General features: G+C 35.4%; 1 long non-coding RNA gene across 1 annotated transcript in view, besides 1 other annotated feature; it reads right to left on the bottom strand.

Moving 5' to 3' along the window:
* Positions 1-207: 207 nt before the first annotated feature.
* Positions 208-25,195, bottom strand: part of LOC107985243 (uncharacterized) — a 79,017-nt gene continuing 54,029 nt past the window's right edge. Inside the window, exons 2-3 of the long non-coding RNA XR_001738357.2 lie at positions 17,346-17,430; positions 208-1,425 (exon numbers count right to left, since the gene is read on the bottom strand). This is a non-coding gene — a long non-coding RNA (uncharacterized LOC107985243). The remainder of the gene's footprint in view (positions 1,426-17,345; positions 17,431-25,195) is intronic.
* Positions 16,853-17,359: an enhancer, noted in NCBI's record as "NANOG hESC enhancer chr1:199085580-199086086 (GRCh37/hg19 assembly coordinates)". NCBI's record gives its function as "activates a minimal SCP1, AML or CMV promoter by ChIP-STARR-seq in primed H9 embryonic stem cells {active_cell/tissue: H9 hESC(primed)}" and the evidence as "EXISTENCE:reporter gene assay evidence [ECO:0000049][PMID:30033119]".

Here is a 25,195-nt window from a genome sequence, read left to right on the forward strand (position 1 = left end):
TACTCATATATATATTTCATTAGTTCTGTCCTTCTAGAGAATATATATATATGTGTGTAAATATATGCGTATATATGTGTGTGTATGTGTATATATATATACAAGGAATATATATATATATACAAGGAATATATATATATATATACACAAGGAATATATATATATATATATATATATATATATATTCCATTGGTTCTGTCCCTCTAGAGAACCCTAATACAAAGTCTATGACAGAAGAAGGTGAAGATGCAGAGCCCGATCCCTCCCAGTTCACCTTTCTACAGTTCACCAGCCTGAAGCCACCAGGAATTCGCAGAGGAAAAAGTGATTTAAATTGGTTGAGAGACTGGACCTTCAGCACTGCTCTTTCTAAACATCTGAAAGTCTGTGTATGTCTATGCAATTTGCCCAGGATTTCACCTTGGAAGGGGAAGAAAACTTTGACAGAAGTTATTGAAAGAGGCAATGGTGAGAATGAATAAGGCTTGTTTATGATTACATGTACAGAGTTTAACCCATTCCAAAAAATAGTTATACTCGTGTATCTCATTTCATTTCTACAACTCTGAGTTTTAAAAGGTAAAAATCTAGCAAAGTTAAAGAGCTCACTTAAAGTCATGCAAGAAAGAAAAAAATAGTAGGAGCTACCATAAGCTTCCTTAAGCTATTCTGTTCATTGTTAAGCAGGGTGCTCATGCATTATGTACATTATCTCATTTAATCCTCACTTGACCCTACTAGGTAGGCAGTTTATCTCCAGTCTTCAGATGAAGAAACAGCCTTAAAGAAATTAAGCAACTACTGACTGTAAAAGAGCAGGGATTTAACCCTACATCTATCGAGTTCCAAAGAATAGGTACTTTCTGCTTTGAAGTTTGTAAAAATTACAAGCCAACTTTGAACTTTCAGTAGAGCATGGACATCATTTGTCAATGGATGAACTTGATTAGATTCAGAATAGGAGGAAATGATGAGGACTTAGGAAAGACTGTGTTGGGGAAGAATTTATGTTGTGACTCTACCAAATTAAGGCAATGCTGACTTTTACCTGGTTTCATTTGAAAAGGAAAACAACCAATTTACTTCACAAAGGAAAATCAATGTAAAATCTTCTCATCGATACCTGTGATACTCTGACAGAGGTTTTAATACTACTGCAACACACTCCCACATTTGACTTAAAATGTAAGTGAGAGCATTAATGTCCAGCTTCAGAAAATTGGTGGGAATTGGGTGATCATTTCTAGATAAATACTTCCCTTAGATATAGATCAATGCATTGATGCAAATGAGGAGGATTCTGTGTGCACCTTCCAAGGATCTGGATCCTTGTTGGTGTAGGGGTATAACTTGTTGGGCAGGGTGTAACAAATTCGTTTCATTGGAGGCTCAGTCAATGTTGACCTCCTCTTCTCTGCATCTGTACTATTAAAAAAAAAGAAAACAAAGAAAGTGACTTAATACAGAAAATTGTTTACACAGGTAGTAAAAAGTCAAAAGAGCATAAAAGAGACATTGAGGCTACCCAGAGATGAATAACTTAAGAAAGAAGATACCACTCCTAAGACTGGGAAAAACCTGAGGGAAGAATGGGATTACCAGAACATAGGAGCTTAGAGGATGGATCTGGAGGGCTTGTGCTTGGACCTATGGAGAGACACTCTGTGGAGCGGGTATCATGTATTCGACATTCAGATCTCTGAGGAGGGTGAAACCACAACTGTAACTCCAACTGCGAAGGCCAAGCTACTGCTAGTCCCCTGAGGGGTTTCCTTCTAGCTGGCAGCAGGAGACCTGAAATAGTCTGGAGACTGCAGCTGGAGGTGGCTGCTCTGAATGCTGTCTATGCTATTTCCATATTGGCCCCGCCATTTTTATGAGGGACACTGTCAGAAGCTAAAATGCAGGGAGGGAGTCGCTTGTTCCTTTCCTCTGACTTCCAGTCGCCCTCTGGCTTTCATGGGCAAAAAATGAAAGGTAAACAAGTTGACAAAGATGTCTCGGAAATTACGGTTTCCAGCAATTCTCAACTCTGCCCAGAGTGCAGAGGGTGCATCCAGAGCCAAAATCCAATAATGGGTTCGAGATATTAGTCACAGCAGGGAGAGTAAAATAGAGAAAATTCAGAGGACCTAAGGGTCAAATTTAAAAAGGACAGAGGATATTTGTACATTTCAACATCATAATTAACAACCACACAAAATTCTGTATAATCAAGCCCTCCCAAGATTATTGCCCAATCACACCAGAACAGTTTCCTCATTTTGTTAATAAAGACAATAACATTCCTTTACCAGCGTTCTACTCTTAGGACGCAGGTTAAGTTGAACTTCACAAACAACAGGCAAGTTTAGAATAAATTGCAAAGAATAAGCCTTACAGGTAATGATGCACATTTTTTGTTGTAATAAGAAAAAGGCATAACATGGGACCCTCTGACCATTTATTTTATTTATTTATTTTTTTTGAGACAGAGTCTTGCTCTGTTGCCCAGGCTGGAGTACAGTGGTGCGATCTTGGCTCACTACATCCTCTACCTCCTGGGTTCAAATAATTCTCATGTCTCAGCCTCCCATGTAGCTGGGACTACAGGTGTGTATCATCCCACCCAGCTAATTTTTTCTATTTTTAGTAGAGATGGGGTTTCAGTGTTGGCCAGGCAGGTCTCGAACTCCTGGCCTCAAGTGATCTGCCTAACTCGGCCTCCCAAAGTGCTAGGATTACAGGCATGAGTCACCATGCCTGGACTCTCTGATCAAATTTTTAAGTGTACAGTACATTATTGCTAGCAGTATGAACAATGTTGTACAAAAGATCCCTTCTAGAACTGTTTCATCTTGCATAACTGAAACTTGAAATGCATTAAACAGCAAGTCCCCATTTCCTCCTCCCCTCAGCCCCTGGAAACCACCCTTCTACTTTCTGCTTCTATGACATTGACTGCTTTAGACATACACATATAAACACAAATAAATGAAATCGTGCAGTATCTGTCCTTTTGTGATTGGATTTTTCCATTTAGCACAATGTCCTCATGGTTCATCTCTTATCACATATAACAGGATTTCCTTTATTTTGAAGGCTCCATAATTTTATGTGTATACCAAATTTTCTCTATTCATTCATACACTGATGGACATTTACATTGCTTCCGCATCATATATATGTGTGTGTGTATATTATATATATATGCTTGGGTTTATTTCTGGGCTCTCTGTTCCATTGTCTATATGTCTGTCTTTAAGTTAGTACCATAATGTTTTGATTACTGTAGCTTAGTGATATGTTTTAAAACCAGGCAGTGTGAGGCCTCCAGTTTTGTCCTTCTTTTCAAGATTGCTTTGGCTATTTGAGCCGTTTTTGGGTCCATGCAAATTTTAGATTTGTTTTTTCTATTTCTGTAAAAATTGCTATTGGGATTTTTTTATTGATAGGGATTGCATTTTAATACTCTGAAGTTTTCCAATCAACGAATACAAATATCTTTCCATGTATTTGTGTCTTTAATTTTTTGGATAAAGGTTTTGTAATTTTCAGTGTATAAGACTTTTACCTCCTTAGTTAAGTTTATTCCTAAGTATTTTATAATTTTGATGTTACTGTAAATGGAATTGTTTTCTTAAATTCATTTTCAAATTGTTCATTTTTTATAGAAATACAATTGAATTTGCATATTAATTTTTTATCCTGCAACTTTACTGAATTTATTAATTCTTGCAGTATTTTTGTGAAGTCTTTAAGGTTTTGTACATGTAAGATCATGTCATCTATGAACAGAGATAATTTTACTCTTTCTGATTTGGATATCTTTTACTTCTTTTACTTTCTTGATTGATCTGGCTAGGACTTCCAGTATTACATTAAATAGAAATGACAAATGTGGACCTTCTTGTCTTGTTCCTGATCTTAGAAGAAAAACTTTTAGTTTTCTACCATTGAGTATGGTTTTAGCTGTGGGCTTTTTATATGTGACCTTTATTATGTTGAGGTTTTCATCCTATTCCTAGTTTGCTGAAAGTTTTCCATTATAAAAGGCTGTTAAATTTTGTCACATGCTTTTTCTGCACCTATTGAAATTATCATGTGATTTATTTTCCTTTAATCTGTTAACGTGATGTATCATATTAACTGATTTTCTTACCGTGAAACATCCTTGCATTCCAGGGATAAATTCCACTTTGTCACGGTGTATGATCATTTTAATGTGCTGTTGAATTAGGTTTGGCAGTATTTTATTAAGGACTTTGAATTGTATCCATCAGAGATATTAACTTGTAATTTTCTTTTTATGAAGTGTCTTTTTGTGGCTTTGGTATCAGGGTTATGCTGGACTCATAAAATGAGTTTGTAAATGTTCTTTTCTCTTAAGATTTTTGGAAGAGTTTGCAAAGATTTGATGTTAACTCCTTTTTAAGTATCTGGTAGAATTCACCAGTGAAGCCATCTGGTCCTGATTTTTCTTAGTTGGGCAGCTTTGACTATGGATTCAACCTCCTTTCTAGTTATACTGCTCAGATTCACTATTTTTTCATGATTCAGTCTTGGTAGGTTGCATGTTTCTAGGAATTTATTTCTTCTATATTATCCAATTTATTGGTGTATAATTGTTCAGAATACCCTCTAATAATCAATTTTATTTCTCCCTTTCATTTCCAACTTATTTGACTCTTCTTTATTTCCTAGCATAGCTAAAGGTTTATCAATTTATTGATTTTTAAAATAACTTACTTCATTGAGTTTTTTTCTATTCTTATTCTATTCTCTATTTTGGCTATTTCTGCTGTAATTTTTATTACTTCCTTCTTTCTGATAACTAAGGGTGTAGCTTGTTCTTTTTCTAGTTTATTGGGGCATAAAGTTAGGTTGTTTACTTTGAATCTGTAATTTTAATGTAGATGTTAACTGCTGTAAGCTACCCTCTTAGTATTGCTTTTGCTGTACTTGCTGTTATGTTGTGTTTTCTTTTTCATTTGTCTCAAGATATCTTCTAAATTTTCTGTTTTCTTCCGTGATGCATTCTTTCTTCAAGATTGTGTTGTTTAACTCCCATGTATTTGTGAATTTTCCAGTATTCCTTCTGCTATTAAATTCAAATTTCATTCCATTGTGGTCAGAAAAGGTTCATGGTATGATTTCAAATGTCTTAAATTTGATAAGACTTGTGACCTAACATGATATTTCCTGGAGAGTGTTACATGCGTGCTTGAGAAGAATATGCATTCTGCTACTCTTGGGTAGAATATTCTGTAGATGTCTGTTAGGTCTATTTGTTTTTTAGTATTTTTCAAGCCCTCTGTTTCTTTATTGACCTTAATTCTGTATGTCAATCCATTATAGAAAATGGGTTATTAAAATATCCTACTATTATTGTGTTGTCATCTATTTTTTCTCTTCAGTTCTATCAGTGTTTGCTTCTTATATTTAGCTGTTCTGATGTTGGCTGCATATATATTCATAACTATATATTCCTGTTGAATTGACTCTTTCATCATTATGTAATGTCCTTCTTTGTCTCTTATTAGAGCTCTTCAGTTAACATTTATTTTTTCTGATATAAATATGGATACCCCTACTGTCTTTGGTTACCATTTATGTGGAATATCTTTGCCATCCTTCAACTTTCTTTTTTTAAAATTTTTATTTTAGGTTCAGGGATAAATGTTCAGGCTTGTTATACAGGTAAATTGCATGTCACGCGGGTTTGGTATACAGATTATTTCATCACCCAGGTAATAAGCATAGTACCTGACAGACAGATTTTTCAATCCCCTCCCACCTGTCACCCTCCACCCTCAAGTAGTCCCCTGTTGTCCTCTTCTTTGTGTCCATGTGTTTTCAATGGTTAACTCCTACTTACAGGTGAGAATATGCAGTATTTATTTTCTTTTCCTGCATTCGTTCACTTAGGATAATGGCCTCTAGTTCCATTCATGTTGCTGCAAAAGATATGATCTCATTCTTTTCTATGGCTGCGTAGTATTCCATGGTATATATGTACCACATTTTCTTTATACAGTGTACCATTGATGGGCATTTAGGTTGACTTCATGTCTTTGCTATTGCTATTGCTATTGTGAGCAGTGTTGCAAAGAACATACACATGCATGTGTTTTTATGGTAGAATGATTTGTATTCCTTTACGTATAAACCCAATAATGGGATTGCTGAGTCAAATGGTAGTTCTCTTTTAAGTTCTTTGAGAAATTGCCACACTGCTTTCCACAATGACTGAACTAATTTACATTCCCACCAGAAGTGTATAAGTATTCTATTTTCTCTCCAACCTCACCAGAATCTATGTTTTTTGTTTGTTTGTTTGTTTTTACGTTTTAATAACAGCCACTTTGACTGGTGTGAGATGCTATCTCATTATGGTTTTGATTTGCATTATGAGTGTCTTATCATATGCTTGTTGGCCACATCTATGTCTTCTTTTGAAAAGTGTCTGTTCACGTCTTTTGCCCACTTTTTCACGGGATGTTTGTTTTTTGCTTGTAAATTTGTTTAAGTTCCTTACAGATTTGGGATATTAGACCTTTGTCAGATACACAGTCTGCATATATTTTCTCCCTGCTGTAACTTGTCAGTGTACTGTGTTGATACTTTCTTTTGCTGTGCAGAAGCTCTCAACAGATGCAGAAAAGACTTTCAATAAAATTCAGCATCCCTTCAACTAAAAAACCCTTAACAAAGTAGGCATTGAAGGAACACACCTCAAAATAATAAGAGCCATCTATTATAAGCCTATAGCCAACATCATCCTGAATGGGCAAAAGCTAGAAGCATTCCCCTTGGGAACCAGAACAAGACAAGGATGCCACATTGTACTGGAATTCCTAGCCAGAGCAGTAAGGCAAGAAAAAGAAATAAAAGGCATTCAAATAGAAAGACAGTATAAGTCAAACTATCTCTGTTTGCAGATGATATGATTCTATACCTAGAAAAACCCATAGTTTCGGCCTCAAAGTTCCTAGATCTGATAAACAAATAGAGGAAATTTTCAGGATATGAAATCAATGTACAACAAAAATCAGTAGCATTTCTATACACCAACAAGATCCAAGCTGAAAGCCAAAGCAAGAACACAACCTTATTCACAATAGCCACAAAAAGAATAAAATACCGAGAAATACTGTTAACCAGGCAGGTGAAAGACCTCTACAACAAGAATTACAGAATGTTGCTCAAGGAAATAAAAAATGACACACACAAATGGGAAATATTCCATGCTAATGGAGAGGAAGAATCAATATTGTTAAAATGGCCATACTGCCCAAAGTAATTTATAGGTTCAGTGCTATTCCAATCACACTACCCATGATATTCTTCACAAAATTAGAAAAAAACTATTTTAAACTTATATGGAATCAAAAAGAGCCCAAATAGCCAAGGAAATCCCAAGCAAGAAGAACAAAGCTGGAGGCATCACATTATCCAACTTCAAACTATACTACAAGTCTACAGCAAGCAGAACAGCATGGTACTAGTACAAAAGCAGACACATAGACCAGTGGAACATAATAGAAAGCCCAATAATAATGTCACATACCTACAACAATGTGATCTCCAACAAAGTTGACAAAATCAAGCAATGAAGAAAGGACTCTGTATTCCATGAATGGTGCTGGCATAACTGGTTAGCCATATAAAGAAGATTGAAACTAGATCCCTTCCTTACACCATGTACAAAAATCAGTTCAAGATGGTTTAAAGACTTAAATGTAAAGTCTAAAACTATAAAAAATCCTGGACAATAACCTAGGAAATTCTAGACATAGGCTCTGGCAAAGATTTCATGATGCAGGCACCAAAAGCAATTGCAACAAAACAAAAATTGACAAATACGACATCTTTTCATTTTCAACTTCTATGTGTCTTTAAGTCTAAAGTAAATCTCTTATAGGCAGTATGTAGTTAGATCTTGTTGTTGTTGTTGTTTTATCCATTCAGTCACTTTATGTCATTTCATTGGTGAGTTTAATTCATTTACATTTAAAGTAATTATTGTTAGGGAAGGTCTTACTCTTGCCATTTTCTTAAGTATTTTAAGCCTATCTTGTAGCTCTGTTGTTCCGCTTTTCTACTCTTGCTGTCTTCCTTCATATTTCAATGATATGAAAGGCTAGTAACATGCTTTGATTCCTTTCATTTCCTGTTGTGTATTTTCTATAGGTATTTTCTTTGTGGTTACCACAGGGCATACATAAAACATCTTATATCTATAAAAATCTATTTTAAACTGGTAACAGTTTATCGTAATTGCAGACAAAAACTCAAAACTTTTACCTTCCCACCATTTTATATCGTTGATAACAGAAATTACACCTTTTTATAGCATGTATCCATTAACATATTATTGTAGCTATAGTTACTTTTTATTCTTTTGTTTTATAATTTCTTTTAGAATTAAAAATGATTTATGTACCACCATTACAGTATTACAATATTCTGTATATTTCTATGCAGATAGATTTACCAGTAAGCTTTATACTTTCATATGTTTTCATGATGCTGTTTAGCATTCTTTTATTGCAACTTGAAGGACTCTGACTTTTCTTTTAGGGCAGGTCTAAAGACGATGAACTCTTTCAGGTTATGTTTACCTGGGAAAGGTTTTATCTGTCCTTTACTTTTGAACGACACTTTGCTGGATATTATAGTATTCTAAGTTGGCAGTGTTTTTTTGTTTTAATGACAGCTCTTTGAATATATTAACCCACTCCCTTCTGGTCTATAAGTTTCTCCTGAGAAATCTGCTGACAGCCTTGTGCAGACTCTTTTGTATATGATGAGTTGCTTTTCTCCTGGTGCTTTCAAAATTCTCTTTTGTCTTTGTCTTTTGACAATTTGATTTTAATGTCTCAGTGTGGATTTCTTTGCATTCATCCTACATTAAATCTGTTGAGCTTTTTAAATATAGATATTTATTTTCCTCTTCAGAGTTTGGAACTTTTTGGTTATTATTTTTTGAAATAATTGCTTGGCCTCTTTCTCATTTTGTTCCTCCAATATATTGACTTATAAATAGTACCCCATAAGTCCCTTAGGGTTTCTTCACTCTTTCATTCTTTTTAAATTTTTGTTCCTTTGATTGGATAATTTCAAATGACATATCTCAGCATTCACAGATTATTTTTTTCTGCTTGATCAAATCTGCAGTTTAACCCCTGTAGTGAATTTCTTCAGGTTATCATATCCTTCAGCTCCAAAATTTTTGCTTTTTCTTTTTAAACATATTTTCTGTATCTTTGTTTAAAGATTTTTGTTCATGGATCATTCTCCTGAGCTCATTAAGCATCTTGATGACAGTAATTTTCAATTATTTTTCAAATATATTGCATGCTTTTTTTCTTCAGGATTGATTTCTGAAGATGTACATTGTTCCTTTACTTTGGCCATGTTTGTTTGTTTCTTCATGTTCTTTGAAGCTTTGTGTTTATATCTATGCATTTGAAAAAACAGCCACATTTCCCAAAGACTAATGAAGACTTCTACAAAGACTAACAAGTAGTCTTCGTAGACTAGCACTATAGAGAGAAAGACTTTTATTGGTCAGCCCAGCTAGAGAATCTGGAGACCTCTCAAACCTTTCCTGTGAATGTATTTTCTCTGGACTTGTGCATCTAAAGCCCCAATTAGAGGGATTTGTTGGTTACTTTTATTCAGGAACTCATAATCTCTTGTGCACTCTGGTGTATGTGGCTTTACAAGTTCTTAGTACTAGAAGAGGAAGCTGTCCCATGCTCTCTGGTTCCCAGTGGCCATCAAGTAGCTCCCTGTCCACACCCTTAGTCATTCTAGACCGCTATCAGTTCCTCAAGCAGTCCTCCAGAAAGCTGAATTGTAGGGTACACACTCTGCTCCTCTCCCTCTCTCCCATTCTGTGTGAGGTATGAGGTGAGACAAAAGCCAATCCCTCAAGCGATTCTCAAAAAACACATGGCGTTGCAGGCAAATTCCATTTTTCTCTCTTTCTCCTTGAGAAGAAGACTCAGATTGAGCACCTTCTCTCAATCATGCAAATCCATGCCAGCTGTAGGCAACTCTCTGCTTTCTGTTGTCTCTGCTACCCCCAGGCCTACAACCTGTGCTAGTTCCTACAGCACTCCAGCTGAGAAAGTAGTTAAGGGAGAAATCAGTCCCTTAGGGAGTTCTCCAAAAAGCTCGGACATTGGAGGCAAACTCCATTTCTCTTTCTACCTTCTGGGGGAGAAGTCTCAGATTAGAGCCTTCTCCCAATCATGCAAAGCGGTACTAATGGCTGCAGGCTGCCAGCCACTTTCTGCTATTCTCAGTTGCCTTCAGGCCTCCAACCTATGTCATGTCAGTTCTATCTGTATTCTGAATGAGAAGTGAGGTGAAACAGAAACCAGTCTCTTATGTAGGGCTCCATAAAGTCAGAATGTTGGATTCTCTTTCTTTCCCCCAAGGCAGAGTCACATGCCAGGGCTTTCTCTATATATACTGAGCTGTATGGGCTTAGGGCAAGAGCTATCACAGGTATAGTGAAATTGTTCTTCTTACACATTTCATTTAAGCTCTTCTCAGCTTTGTGCTCACCTGAGGTATTGCAACTTCTTAACTGGATTCTGGAAACCTCATAAAACTATTTTGGTCGGTGTATCATTGTTAAACCATTATTTAAAGAATGAGGATGGAGACTTCCTATCATGCAGACAGCACTACTTTTTAAATAGCAATTACTACATATATTAGCAAAAACTTTCGCCCAATATGTCAAGATGTTAGTTCTCTTTGTATACCTAGAACATTAAATCTCTAAAGCTATGTTCCTGTGTTAGACTTCTCTCTTCCCGCTATGTGCTTATTGCTGTACCAGGCAATAGGCACAAAGAGGTTTGCAATAAGATGTCATTGTCTATAAGAGATAACTTTTGAGGAGAAGCAGTATATGAAAAGGGTAAGAGTGTAAGCTTTTGCATCAGAAAAACCTGGGTTTAAAGTATGCCTCTTATAGCTTCTGGAATGTAGATAAAATATATAATCTCTCTAATGCAGTTTTGTCATTAGAAAAATGGAGTGATAATACTATCTAACTACTACTGTTACAATAAGGACTAAATAAGGTAATATGTGTCAAGTTCTTAGCCAAGTGTCTGGCACACATACAGTTAAATGCTTAATATTCAAAATGTGTTGAATATTGTTTTCATTGTTTTGCCAGATTTAGTAATAAAAAATGGAATGGCCCTACAAGATAGAGAAAGCTTCTACAATAGCATCAATAAACTCTCATTTCACACTTGCTCTACTGTTACTTTGTTTTATCTTACTGCTTTCTATTTGTTTTCATCACCTGCATTGTGTTCATTTGAAAATGCACAGGGTCTAAACAAATAAAGTCAAGAAAAAATACAAAAGCTGTTTTGAAAGAATTAGTAAATTTCGACAGCAAGCATATTAATGTTGTAAGATTTGGCATATCTTGGGATTCTGAGATAATTACTAGTGAAAGAAATGAATAGAAAACTTAATATTTTTAGTTTCACTTCTCTGTTGAATGGATAATATTTTTATTGTATTTTTTAAAAATCGGTGATATTTCTGAAAAATGAGCAATATATGAAATGATAAATTTATTTAAAAACTCATATAGCTAAATCTAATCAGCTTATGCAATTTTTCTAGTAAAATGATAATTACATATATACAGTTATGTGATTATTCATTCTCCAAATCTATATTTTGTGCATGTATTGTTAATGCTCCACTATTTTAATATGCAAAATGCCATAAAATAGCACTGGTGGGGACCTTAGATAGCATGTCTCATAGTCTCAATTTGTAGAAAAGAAAACTGGGAAATAAACTCGCTGAGACCTACAAAGATCAGACTGGAAATTAGAAGCAAATCTGGGGCTATAATCTTTTCTAATTTATGCTATCTTCATTTTTCACATGATTTATTCACAGCCACAGTCTAAAAGATAAATGTCGGCATTCAATTAAACTAGTACTTTTGACCTCCCAATTTGTCTATCAGTCTTGCATAATGAAAAAGAAGATTGGTAAAAAGTTATCGATTGTCACTTGGGTCTATTTGTTGGCAAGTAAGGAGTCATCAAATACTCCTTATCAAAAAAACACCTGCCTACATTTTATATTTTCTGAAATTTCACTAATTAAATAATTATTTATTTGATTTACATGCGTAAATGCTTCAAAGATCTATTCAGATGCAAGAACTAATGAAAGTAGAGGAGAAAAAGCCATAAATTCAGGGGTTGACTCATTTACATTGAAAGGCAAAAGAGAAAAAATTAGATCTATCAACTGTATGGTCACTCCTGGTGTGCTTGTCTATCTCTCCTATTGGATGAAATACATTTTTAGGACAATGATCAAACTTTATTCATCACTATACCATTCACACCTTCTAGTGACTGGCACTAAGTAAGAGATTAATTGTTACATAAATTTTAAAATTTTTATTTATTAGGCACCTATTATGTGTAATTCACAGTGCTGTGCTGTGTATTTTTCAGTATGCTATCTTTTCCAAATTTAACAATACTTTTGAGGTAGCTATTATTTTCTCCCATTTTACAGAAAAGAAACCTGAGGTAGAGAGATGATAGACAACTTGCCTAAGGTCACACACTTAACAAATGTAGTGCTGGAACTTTAACTCTGGTCCTTGTTTCAAGAGGCACTTCTTTTCCTACACCAAAAAAGCCACAGAGCCCACAGAATTATGGATTATCAGGACTTGAAGATGTCTTTAAACTTATCTAGATACTCAAAACTGGTTATATTAGGGATTAAAATCACTTTTCTATGCTTCATGGCTTCTTGTTTATTCCCAACAGTAGTGTAAATAAGCTGGTCACATTGATTCCTTTCTCACTATTTATTGAAAGCATGGATAATGAATTAAGAATAACTTTGTGGAAGAGAAGAATATTAATAATATTTTATAATATGTTAATAATAAATAATAATGAATTAATAATTAATGAAATAATAACCAGGCCTCCATCCTGGTTTGCAGATGTCTGTCTTCTCATTGTACTTTACATGGCAGAGAGGAAGGAACTTCTCAAGTCTCTTTTTATATGGCACTAATTGCATTCAAGAGGGATCCACCCTCATGACCTAATTACTTCACCATTTATTGCATAATTACTATGTGTGAGAAATATGAATTAATTTATTCTTTACCATTGCAAACCTATGAGATAGAAATCATTATTCTAATTTTTACACACAAGGAACTCAAGCTTAAAGACATTACAGGACTTTTCTAAACTCCCACGTGTATAGTACAGAAACACAGTGGGCCTCTTGGGCTGCATCTAATAAATTATGCTAATAATGTTACTCATAGTGAGGGAGGAACTGGAGATTGGGTTCAACCATATGGGCAATTAATCCTTCAGTTATGCCTACCTAATGAAGCCCCAGTAAAAACTCTGAACATGGGAGTTCAAGTGAGCTCCTGGGATGGCAATACTCTGTAGATAGTGTCGTACATCAATACCAGGAGGTATTCTTTGTCATTAGGACAATAAGAGCTTCACATTTGGAATCCTCTTGGATTCTACCCTACATGTCTCTTTCGTTAGCTGATTCTATCCTTTCCCTGTAGCAAATATTGTGAGTGCAATAGCTTTCAATAAGTCCTGTGAGTCTTTTGAGTGAATTAGCAAACCTGAGGGTGATTTTAGGAAACCTTGAACTTACCTCTTGAAGACCCCAGCCACCTCCTAATACCATCACATTGGGGGTTAGGATTTCAACCTATTAAACTGGGAAGTAGGGCATAAACTTCAAGTCCATAACAGCTTGCTAAGTAGTTCTACCAGATGTCAGTGGCAGCCTGGAAAGGTATCGCCACCTACTGGCATGCACTTGCACTGTGGCTGCAAATGCTGTTTGTTGGATTTGGCAGGCATTACTATAAATCCCCACCCTAGATTCAGAACTTGAAAGCTGAGTTTTCCTGCAGTCCCAGTGTAAGCTGAGTCAATTGCCTAGATTCTGAACAATGTTCCCAGGAGTATCCATCTATATTGACCAGCTAAGGCTTGCAATGTCTCCTCCAAAAGGAATGTGGTAAGACTTCCCTCCAAGTGATATGAAATGGGCTTTATCAATCAGCAAGGCATTACTGACAAGTGGCGGGGTAACTAAGTTATTATTTTCCTTGTACATTTCAGTCTGCTCCATTGAGTAGAGGGAGGATGCTGTTTAGAGATTCTCATATGTTGTGAGGCACACATGGAGCCAATGTAAACTCTTGTGTTGTTGCTTGCCTTGCTGCTGTCACAATTTGTCTCCTGATAAAGCAGGATGTAAGGGGTCACACCCATGTAAATCAGTGGCACGATGCTTATAGAAAAAGAAATGAAGAAAGGAACACTTTATCCCTGGCCCACCTAATACCCTTGAGAAGGTCATGCAATTGATTCAATAATGTAAAACACTCAGATTGTGCACACATGTCTTATTGGGAACTGCTGCTTACCAGCATGCCAAGGGCCTTATGTTCAAAATCCAGAGCCTCAAAAATACTTATAAGGCATTACTACTCTCTTGGAAGTAAATCCAAATCCTTCAGAGGTCAGTTGGTACACTCTAGAGAAGGAAGCAACCATGTATGAACATGGTCATCCAGGACCACCAGGAGTTTATCAGGTAAACAACCAAAGGGTAAAAGCAGTCAGGAACAGACAGAAAACTTAAAAAAAAAAAAAACCCAAATCCCAAAACACCTGTCAAATGCAGCTGTACACTATCCTGTTGACTGTTGGTCTCATCAGTATTATTCTGATTTCACTGGTCTGCAATCTACAAGCTCAAAGCATCTAAGTAAGCCATTATTTCAACTAAACATGGACAATGGTGAAGCCCACATGCCATTGAATTTGGCTAATACAAGCCCTATAACCCAAAGTCTCTACCAGCTTTCCCATCACCAACCAAACCAACAACTGAAGCAAAGGGCCTACAACAAATGGCTAAAAATACAAGTCACAGCACTTTGGGAGTCTGCGTTGTGCAGATCATCTGAGGTCAGAAGTTCAAGACCAGCCTGGCTAACATGGTGAAACCCCATATCTTCTAAAAAAAAAAAAATACAAAATTAGCTGGGTGTGGTGGTGCATGCCTATAATCCCAGCTACTTGAGTGACTGAGGCAGGAGAATTGCTTGAATCCTGGAGGCAGAGGTTACAGTGAACTGAGATTGTGCCATTGCACTCCAGCCTGGGTGACAAGAATGAAACTCAGTCTCAAAAAAAAAAAAAGAAGGCCAGGCATGGTGGCTCATGCCTGTAATCTCAACACTTTGGGAGGCCGAAGCGTGTGTATCACCTGAGGTCAGGAGTTCGAGACCAACCTGGCCAACATGATGAAACGCCGTCTGTACTAAAAAATACAAAAATTAGCTAGGCGTGGTGGCAGGCACCTGTAATCCCAGCTACTCAGGAGGCTGAAGCAGGAGAATCACTTGAACCCGGGAGGTGGAGGTTGCAGTGAGCTGAGATTGCGCCACTGCACTCCAGCCTAGGAGACAGAGCAAGACTCCATCTCAAAATAAATAAATAAATAAATGAAATAAAAAGAAAACAAAAAAATACAAGACATGCCTACAGGCTAATGCTGGCACTCCAAACTCAGGCACAGATATTTTATTTGACATATAACCTGGCATCATATTAATAACAACCAAATTAGGAAATCTGAATCAAAACCAAATTCCAACAAAACTCCTCTCATTACCCATCTAATAGAAACCTTGGACTAATTAGAAAGTTTTAGACATGGCCATCCTTAATGGGGGCTTAAGTGGTGTCAGTTGGGTCTGGCATATTTGTCCATTACAACAGCATCATGATGCCAATATCACCTTTGCTAGCTGTGAACCCAAAATCCCTTTGACTTGAAAGATATTTGCAAGCCAGGCTCCCAGGCCTAACATTGCCTCCAAATGACACAAATGGCTCCGTGTCACTATAATACCATACAGCCACAAAAGTAAGACCCACATTAATGTGAGTGGACATAAACTTGAAAACAATCCTCAGTCCCACATCCTGGATGACATTGCCCCAACCCAAGATTTCATCAATGGAAACGAATTCTTCCCCAGCACCAGAGATGACTTTACCCATGAAGTCAAAGCCTCCATCCCAGTGACACACATGGACTTCTCCTAAGGCCCTGACAAAGTGGACATGAGACATTTATTGCTTTTCTTCCTCTGACATTGAGGATTCTGTTGCTTAGTCTCATTGTCTGCTTAGCCCATGATCCTGGTATACCCCTTGCTTTATGACAAAATACGCACACTCCTCTCTAAAGGAAAATCTGATAGAGGTTACTACTATCTATGACATTCCAAAAATGAATGGAAATTATTACTTTCCCCCAGAGGCAACTGCACATTTCAATCAACCCTAGGCCCCTTGAGGAGAGAACTACCCACTCCAGGACTTTCTTCTATTACCCACCTCCAGTTTTCCACAACAACCTCCTGCCCTGTGTCTTGAATCATGATCATAGTAATCAACCATTTTCATTGGTGATACACAAATATCACTAATCTTTATGTATAATTTACTAAACAATCAACCACATACTCTCCAACAACATAACTGCCAGAACACTTTGCCACTTGACACTTTGCAACTCTACCAAGATATTATTAGAGATCCTGGAAATTTCAGATCTATTTTCTTGACTAATGCCATATAAATGGGAAACTTGGTTATATGCTGGTCTATAAGAAATGCTTATACTTCTACTCATGGTCTTCTTTTCTACTCTCATAATAAAATATTTTCTATACTGTTTAAGGCAATTTATGCCCTATTGTCTAAAGGTTTCCCCTGTTATCACCCCAACGTTTTCTTAATATGATGCAACAGCATGATAGGGCCAGTTGTATTAACCTTGTCTTTTATTTTCTATATTATGATACTGTGACATTTGGGGCCTTGGTAACCCTGGAGAAACTAACTTCTCCATCCTACCCAGGGTTAGCATAAAGGGAGAGATATATTACTACCTCAATTCCTACAGACAGTAAACAACTCAGTCAGTGAGCATGCTTTTCAAATGCAAATCAACCAATCTAGAGCTCATATCCTCAACCACCTTCTTTATTGGGCTCTCACACTTTAGGCTATTATTCACCTTCTCTAATCACTGTAGGGCCAGGTACCAGACAACTTGAAACAGCCCTTATATCCTAAAGACCATTGGAATTATTCAAAATAGCCAATTTGAGGCCTGCTTACCCAGCCTTGCCCATTCCTTCTCATGGGAACCACAGTAAGATTTCTTGCCCACAGTTTCTCCTTCTCCCTCTCCCTCCTTACCAACCACAGTGCTTCCCTGTGTGCTCCTCTACCCTCACGGTGTGATTTTGTGTGATGCATTTGTCTCCTTCTCTGTTGCAAGAACCTGAGGAAAAGGAGAAGCAGAAGGAAGAAATGAATAGACTATTTGGGGATATTTTGAGCAGAAGTATTTACTCCCACCAAAGATCACATTTCAGTTGATCTGGGATGGGCACCAGCATTTGGTATGTTTAAAAAGCTCTTCAGGTGATCTGAATGTGCAGCCAGACTGAGAACCACAGTGTAGTTTATTGAATAGTTTTCTATTGAGTACCTACTGTGTGCAAAGTCATTTGTGTTATAAATTCAATCCCTATCTTACACAAAATGTTTGGGTTTATTTTGTTTAGTCTCAATATCATGTGTTACCTTAAGGAAACTGTTGTTTAGTAATCAAAGCAGGACTTTCCAAGTTAGGATTTTCCATTTCTGCTCCTGAATACTTTTCTGCAGAGTTACTGAGTAAATAACTGTGGAAAAATTACTTAACCTTCTAATGCATCTATTTGTTTATTTGTGAAACAGACATATGTACTTATTTTTTAGCAAAGGTTTGTTTTGTTGGTTATTTTTTGTGTGTGTTTTTGGTTTTGAAGTAATTTTCAACAATATTTTATCATTCTTGAATGAATGAGAATACTTTCAAAATGTATGACATCTCAAGACTTCTTTTCTTAGAACCAAGAACTTCGCCCATAGGTTTTTTCTTTCTTTCTTTTTTAATTGCAAAGTGAGTGGCAACACTACTCATGATATGAGATGCCAGAGCTAACATCCAAGAATAGACCAAAGTAGACACAAGATTTTTGTTGTTTGTAGAAAGTGGGCTCCATTGTTCTAAACTTTTATTCTAAACTTGGCATTCTGAAATGGTTACTATAAGGTTAAAGTCTCTTATCTCCACAGCTTGCTGGACAATCACTAAGAGTTTTGTAATGATATAAGGAATTAACTAAACAACTTGTAAAATTTTTCAAAGATAGTGATGAGCCCAAATCAAGATGTAGAGTTATTTCTCTATTCACAGATGCTACACATAGAATAGGTATCAACAGAGACCTTTCAGTTCACAATTTGAGAGTTTGGCAATGGTTGTACTATTACTTGACCAATGCTTTTCATGTAGTAGCATTAGTAACTATAGTAGCATTTGTAGTTTATGCCTGTGGTGGACGCAAGGATAATTCAAGTTATAACAAGACAATCATTTCTGGAGCCTAAGTGAGTAACACCTTCCCTGAGTGTGGAGTGTTTAGCCAAGTAAAGTCCGTTATTTTTCTTAAGTGCCCATTACCATTTCACAAGGCTGATTATTTCACAAATCACAAGATAACACACAGGAGACCAAGGCTGACTTCTATTATTCTCAAGGGTGCATGTTATTTAGCTGTTATAGTAAAATGATTATGACTTTTATATTACCAGTCTAATGACAATATTCATTATTTACCATTCCTTTCTTTAAGATTATAATCAAGTTTCATTTGACCAACCAGTTAACTACATTTGTCAAATATTCAAATTCATGCATAGGAATAGAAGGAGATAAAGTAATCAGCCCAAGGTAGCTAAGGGACAGAGGCAGAATTCCAATTCATGTGTGTCTGACTATACAAACTAATAGTTTTCTCATTAAGTTGCTTCCTTGAAGAAGGTATTTGAAAGTTTCTCACACATACTAAGGTTAAAATAAATATAATATTTTTTTCTTTTTTTGAAAAAAACACAATTTAGTCATGAACTTACAGCTAACTTTGTAGGAAACTGGTCTTTATCCTGTTCCTAGTATGAGTGCCTAATGCCTCCCATCAAGCCATACATCTTTACTGTATGTTACTAAATCAAGATGTCATTCATAGGAAACATTCTTTATAGTCTAAATAAGATTATGCAAATATTCACAAAAAAAGTAGAACTGTATGCTTCTCATTCCACCTAAAAATCTCATTTCTATTTAAATAATACCTATGAAATTTTTACATTAATTATTTGTACAAAAAACAAAATATAAGTTTTTGCTTTTTAAAAATAAACTATTTTTATTACAGTAGAGGATCAAAGAAAATATGTTGCTAATACTGACATGAAAAGGGATTGAATCATGGGTTAAAGAGAGGAAATTAAAGGTGGAGGTATGGCTTTGCAGGCTAATTGGTACCTAACGTCTGAGGACTTTTGTTTTTGATGGTAATACTGCTAAAATTTTGCAAGAAGGGTTTCAAATTTAAGAAACTGGAATGAAACTCTGTTATTTCCTTTCTAAACTGCCTGTTCTACCTCTCAGTACAGAAGCTGATAAAAGCAAAGGGCATCCTAGTGGGATACTTATACTCGTTTTTTTTTTTCTTTTTTTTTTTTTTTTGTCCTGGACCTACTCAAATGTATACCAGAATAAAAACTACCATTTCTGAAGTCTTATGATAGTATATTACTAAGTTAGTTAGCATCTAGAAGCTTATGTAGGATAATTAAATTGAAAGAAGAAGAAATTTTATGAGGATTTTATTTTATTTCATTATTTGAATGGTTGTAGAATGGTGGGGAAGCATCTCTTGTGGTTAATATATGTAAAACAAAACTAATTTTAAGGTAATTTAGGCAGGTCCAGTTTTCAGAGCCATAGCAAGAACAGAAGGTAGACTTTTTTTTGTAGACTGATAGCCTGGACGCGAGGATGATGGTGTACTCATTTCATATGTAATTCACCTGCTTCTCAAATAAACTGAATACTGTCTTAAAAAAAAAAAAAAACAACCATTTCAATCAACATTAATATGGTATGAATGTTAATTTTTAAGCGTTTTCATATTTCAAATGTAAAGCCTGAAAGCAATAACTATGATGAAACGTAGTGAAAGGGTTGTTCTACAAAATTCCATAGAATTGCCCAAACTTCTACAATTTTAGTCTATTAAGTTTCTTTCTGGCAATTAACAGAAATCTGGATTCTTATATTAAACCTATATAAGTAAAGTCATAGAGTAGTAACTAAAAATTGGAATTCATAAATCATGTTGATAGGTTTTATTTTAAAGTTTAAAAATATTATTTATATACTTCCACATGCATTTGGTATTTAAATTGCCATTAATCCGATTAATCATGGCAGATTCCCAATTCCAAAATGTCCCAAAGAAATAGTAAAACTTATGCAAGCAGTATGTCAAAGTGAAATCCATCCTTAGGTCAGAACAGCTATAACTAACTCTTTTAATTTTTTTTTAATTTGATTAAACATCAGACTAATTAGAGCATATTATTCTGATTAATTTTCTTCAAGATTTATTAATTTGTGTAACACCTAAGATCTTTCATAAGAAGATCACCTTGCCCATTAACATGTTAACAGTCTGGAGCCAGAGTCTTCCAAAATTTTTAAAACTAAATTGATAAATAATTGTTCTTGGTCTGCACTCTGCTATTATAAGAGTTCTAAGTTGCTTTTACTTTTACTTCTCAACTTTAGATTTTTTATCCGTGTCATGACCCAAGTGGTTTTGAGTGAGTAAAGGTAATGCTGTATTTGGAAATGAGCTAACCACTTGAGATAATATACTCCCAAACGGCCAAGGGAGTCTTTATTCTCTGTGGGTACCTTTCAAGCAATCTGGAATGACAGAAAGTATTTTTGACTCAGTGGCCATAGAAAAATATTAAGCAAAACCTCTATCTGAAAAGCAAGAAGAGTGAGAAAGATAGTCTTTTATATGATACATAAAAAATGATTTGCTTTCCTTTATCTCCACTAAGGTGACAGACACCTGCTCACTTTTCTTTTAATTAATTGACAGATTTATCATAAATCAATACTTTCTAATGGATGAAAATTCTTCACTATGGTTGTTGGGTTAATAATTTGAGACCGTCTTTCAGATGCATTGAAATAAATATATTCTATTATTTTCAATTTATTGGAAAAGTAAACAAAACATTGTATTTTTTATATAAATTGACCTAATGCTAAGTTAAAAATGCAAATCACTAAAAGGAAACAAACAAAACAATTAAAACCTGGAATTGAAAGTAAAAGCCTATTTTTCAATATAATGTATTCATTAGGAATATTCCAAACTCTTAAGTACCCATTATATCATTAATATAAAAATATTGGCTACCTAAGTACAAATATTGTGGACATAATTCTTGGCTATTTGACCATGGCACATTCTTATTCTCAAGTAGAGGTGGCCATTTTTCACAAGGTAGGTGTTCTTATTCAGATGGAAACTGAAAACTAAACCCTCAAGAATTCTCAACAATAATCATTCCTTACTTTTGAAACCTTGAACTCTGTTACAGCACTATGGATGATAACAAAGAAAATTATTTCCTAATCCACTTACTAGCTACTTGACCTTGAGCAAATCACTTGCCTTCATGATTCTAAGTTGCTTCAACAGTGATATGAGGAATGTTGAATTAGAAAATCACCAAGGTCTTTTTACCTCTTGAAAATTCTATAAATCTATGATTCTAAAATTTGCTATTCAATTTACCCTCTACCTAAACTTTTCTTTTATGGCTTAAAGTTTAATTTATTTTCATTCAGACTCTGATCATTACAGCAACAAGATTTTCTCAGATATTTAAGAGGCTGAGGAGACACAATTTATTATAAATAGATACTGGTTATGTATAATATTCTTAACAAGAGATAGCAACTTAGCTATTTCATGGTTACTTTCTTTTTCCCAATTCAGGACTAATTCAGGTGTTTAGAATAACTTTAAAAAAAATAGACTATGTTTAGAGCAGTGTCAGGTTTACAGAAAAATCGAGTAGGATGTACAGAGAGTTCCCATAAACTCCCTTTACCCCTCCTTCCCAGTCTCTCTTAGTAACATCTTATGTTAGTATAGTGCATTTGCTCTACAACTGATAAAGGAATATTGGTACAGTTTTGGTAACTAAAGTCCATGATTTTGAAAGTTGATATTCAATCTATTCTCTATCTAAACTTTTTGAGTACTTATGTGTTAAACACTTTTCTGAATGTTTTACAAGTACTAACTCATTACATCCTCACAAAATCATTATCAGGTAAGCTATATTATGATGCCTACTTTATAAACAATCTGAAACACAGACAGCTAATTTGTGATAAAATTAGAATTTTAATCCAGGTAGTAAAATCTGTGTATTTGACTACTCGACTAACTATGTCTAGATTTCTCCAAAGAAGTGTTTTGTGAAATATTAATTCTCAAAATTACTGAAAAAAACAGGGCTTATGATCTATTGGTTATGACTTTTTCAGTGTTAAATGACCAAAAATTATTTAAAGTAATTTTTAAATTAACTAAAATAATTAAATTTTAAATAAATTAAAATTATTTAAATTAATTAAACAAAAATAAAATTTATTAGCTGAAGAAGCCAATATGTTGGTGCAGGTTGGCGAGGTGACTGGTTTTAGGAATATTGACTCAGATTACATCATTATGATTTACCTTGGGCTCCAAGCAGTGAAGGTCATGGAAGCAGCAATTGAGTCCTCATACCCTCTCAGCTTTGCTCACAACAGTCACAAACTCTTCCATAAGTCTCAATAAAAATATGTTTGCATCATATTATGTGACATATACTTGTGTCATATTATCTCTGATTGGTTTACATGTTCATGTCCAAATCAATCACTATGGCCAGAATCATTTCATAAGCAGACTGGTATTAAGTTGGGGTTCCTAGTAGAATGGCCATCATCAAAATCACATAAATGAAGACTGGAAATGGTAGTGTTTTCCCAGATAAATACCAGGATGTGGTTACTAAAATTGGTTGATGGCTGTCCACAGATGTCCAAGACAGATAGTTAAGCTTATTTTAGAGATAATTCATAATACATTTCTGTCTCAGAAGTTACTGATGCATAAGAGCACATTAAAACCTCCAATAAATTCTGAAATAAAGAAGTTATTTTAGTTCATTGCTTTCTCCAATCTGTTTGACCATGTAACAAATTATTTAAGCAAAATATATTAACATTCCTTTGAATTATTATTCTGTAGAATATATTTTAAGGAATGTCACTGAAGGCCCAGATTCTTACTTTCAGAAACTAATCTAATATGTAAGACATACAACAAAATCCTTTGTTCTGTTTTTTTCTGCATCATTGGGTTACTTAATCTGACTCACATAAATTTTCCTTATATTAGTCAGTATTAAGAATAAAACTCAGGCAGGGCACAGTGGCTCATGCTTGTAAACCCAGCACTTTGAGAGGCCAAGGAGGGAAGATCACCTGAGCTCAGGAGTTCAAGCCAACCTGGGCAACATAATGAGACCTTGTCTCTACAAAAAAATTAAAAATTAACTGGGCTTGATGGTGCACACCTGTAGCTCCAGCTACTCAGGAGGCTGATGGAGAAGGATCACTTGAACCCAGGAGGTTAAGCCTGTAGTGAGCTAGGATTGCACCACTGTGTTACAGCCTGAACAAGAGAGCAAGGCTCTGTCTCAAAAAGAAAAGGAAAGCTCATTAAACATATAATATTCTTAATGATAAAATGCATTAAAATTTTCCAGAATGTACCCGTAAAATATTAAAATATGTGATGGAAAGCAGAATCACTAGTTTGAAGATCTGCTTAATTCATATGGAGGTTGTATTCATTAGCTTTTGCAAATTTAAACAAAGATTAGAGATTTAAAGCTACAAATATTTATTATCTGTTAAGATTTTGTGGGTTGGCTAGGGAGTTCTTCTGGACTGAGTCAAGTCAGCTGGCGGTAGATGGTCTAGGATGGACTCATCCTCTTGCCTGGTATTTGACAGACTAATTAGTCTGCGGTGGCTTATGTCTTCTTCATGTGGTCTCTCTTGCCTAAGTAGGCAAGCTGGAGCATCTTATATGGCTGTTTCCTGTTTCCAAACACCAATAAATAAGGGCAAGAACCAGAGTGCAAACACTTTCAAAACCTCTGCTTTCATCATTTTTGTTTAACAACATCTCAATTGCTAAAGCAAGTTAAAAGATCAAACCTACCTCTCAATGGAAGAAACTGCAATAGCACATTGCAAAGGGGCATGTGGAACACGCACGGAGATATGGAAAGAATGAGGCCATTTTTGTTATCTACCACAGAGCTCTTAAAATCTGCATTTCCAAATCCTAGATTTAGTTCATTAAGTGAACGGGTTAACTAGCTTACATGAACTGCAATATCAAGATATATATTAATATTAAAATAATACATGCATGGAAAATGAAGAAATAACCTTTGATTTCTCTGAATACTTCAGTCATGCTTAAACGATTATACCTGTTCAGCAAGATTCAAAAGTATTCATGAGAAAAAATGGTAGAGGTTTTGTGGCAAGATTCTTTTCAAACAGAGTCTATGATGCAGATTTCCATGCAGAAGTTTCATTGATGAGTACCTATTGGAAATACCTGTAAGAAAGTGAGGAAAGCAAGAATGGGTGAAAAGGGAAATTGAACTGCAAAGAGGTTGAAGTTAAGCCTGGTTCATTCCACAGGGATCTCAGAGTTGAGATGGCCTTTCAGAGTTGTCCAGAAATAAGGTAAAGAGCTGGTAGTTTATATCCCCCACAACACAAACGCACACTCCAATGAGTCACTGGGTAATGGAAAGATTAGGTTTATCTTTGAGTAATTTCTGGGAAAAGACTCAGCAGTGACCCATTAGCAGCCAACACTGCAGGCAACTCAAGAAAGAGACCCTCAGTTCTGAAGAGAAGACCTGAATTCAGCATCAATAAAAGATTTTAAGAGATGGATTTCAGCTTAATATAAGAAAAATGTGTTTTAGTGGCAGATGAAACTATTGAATTCTCCTCTTTGGAAGAGTTTAAAAATCCATTA

Source organism: Homo sapiens, chromosome 1 (assembly GCF_000001405.40).
Source record: "Homo sapiens chromosome 1, GRCh38.p14 Primary Assembly".
Classification (NCBI taxonomy): domain Eukaryota; kingdom Metazoa; phylum Chordata; class Mammalia; order Primates; family Hominidae; genus Homo; species Homo sapiens.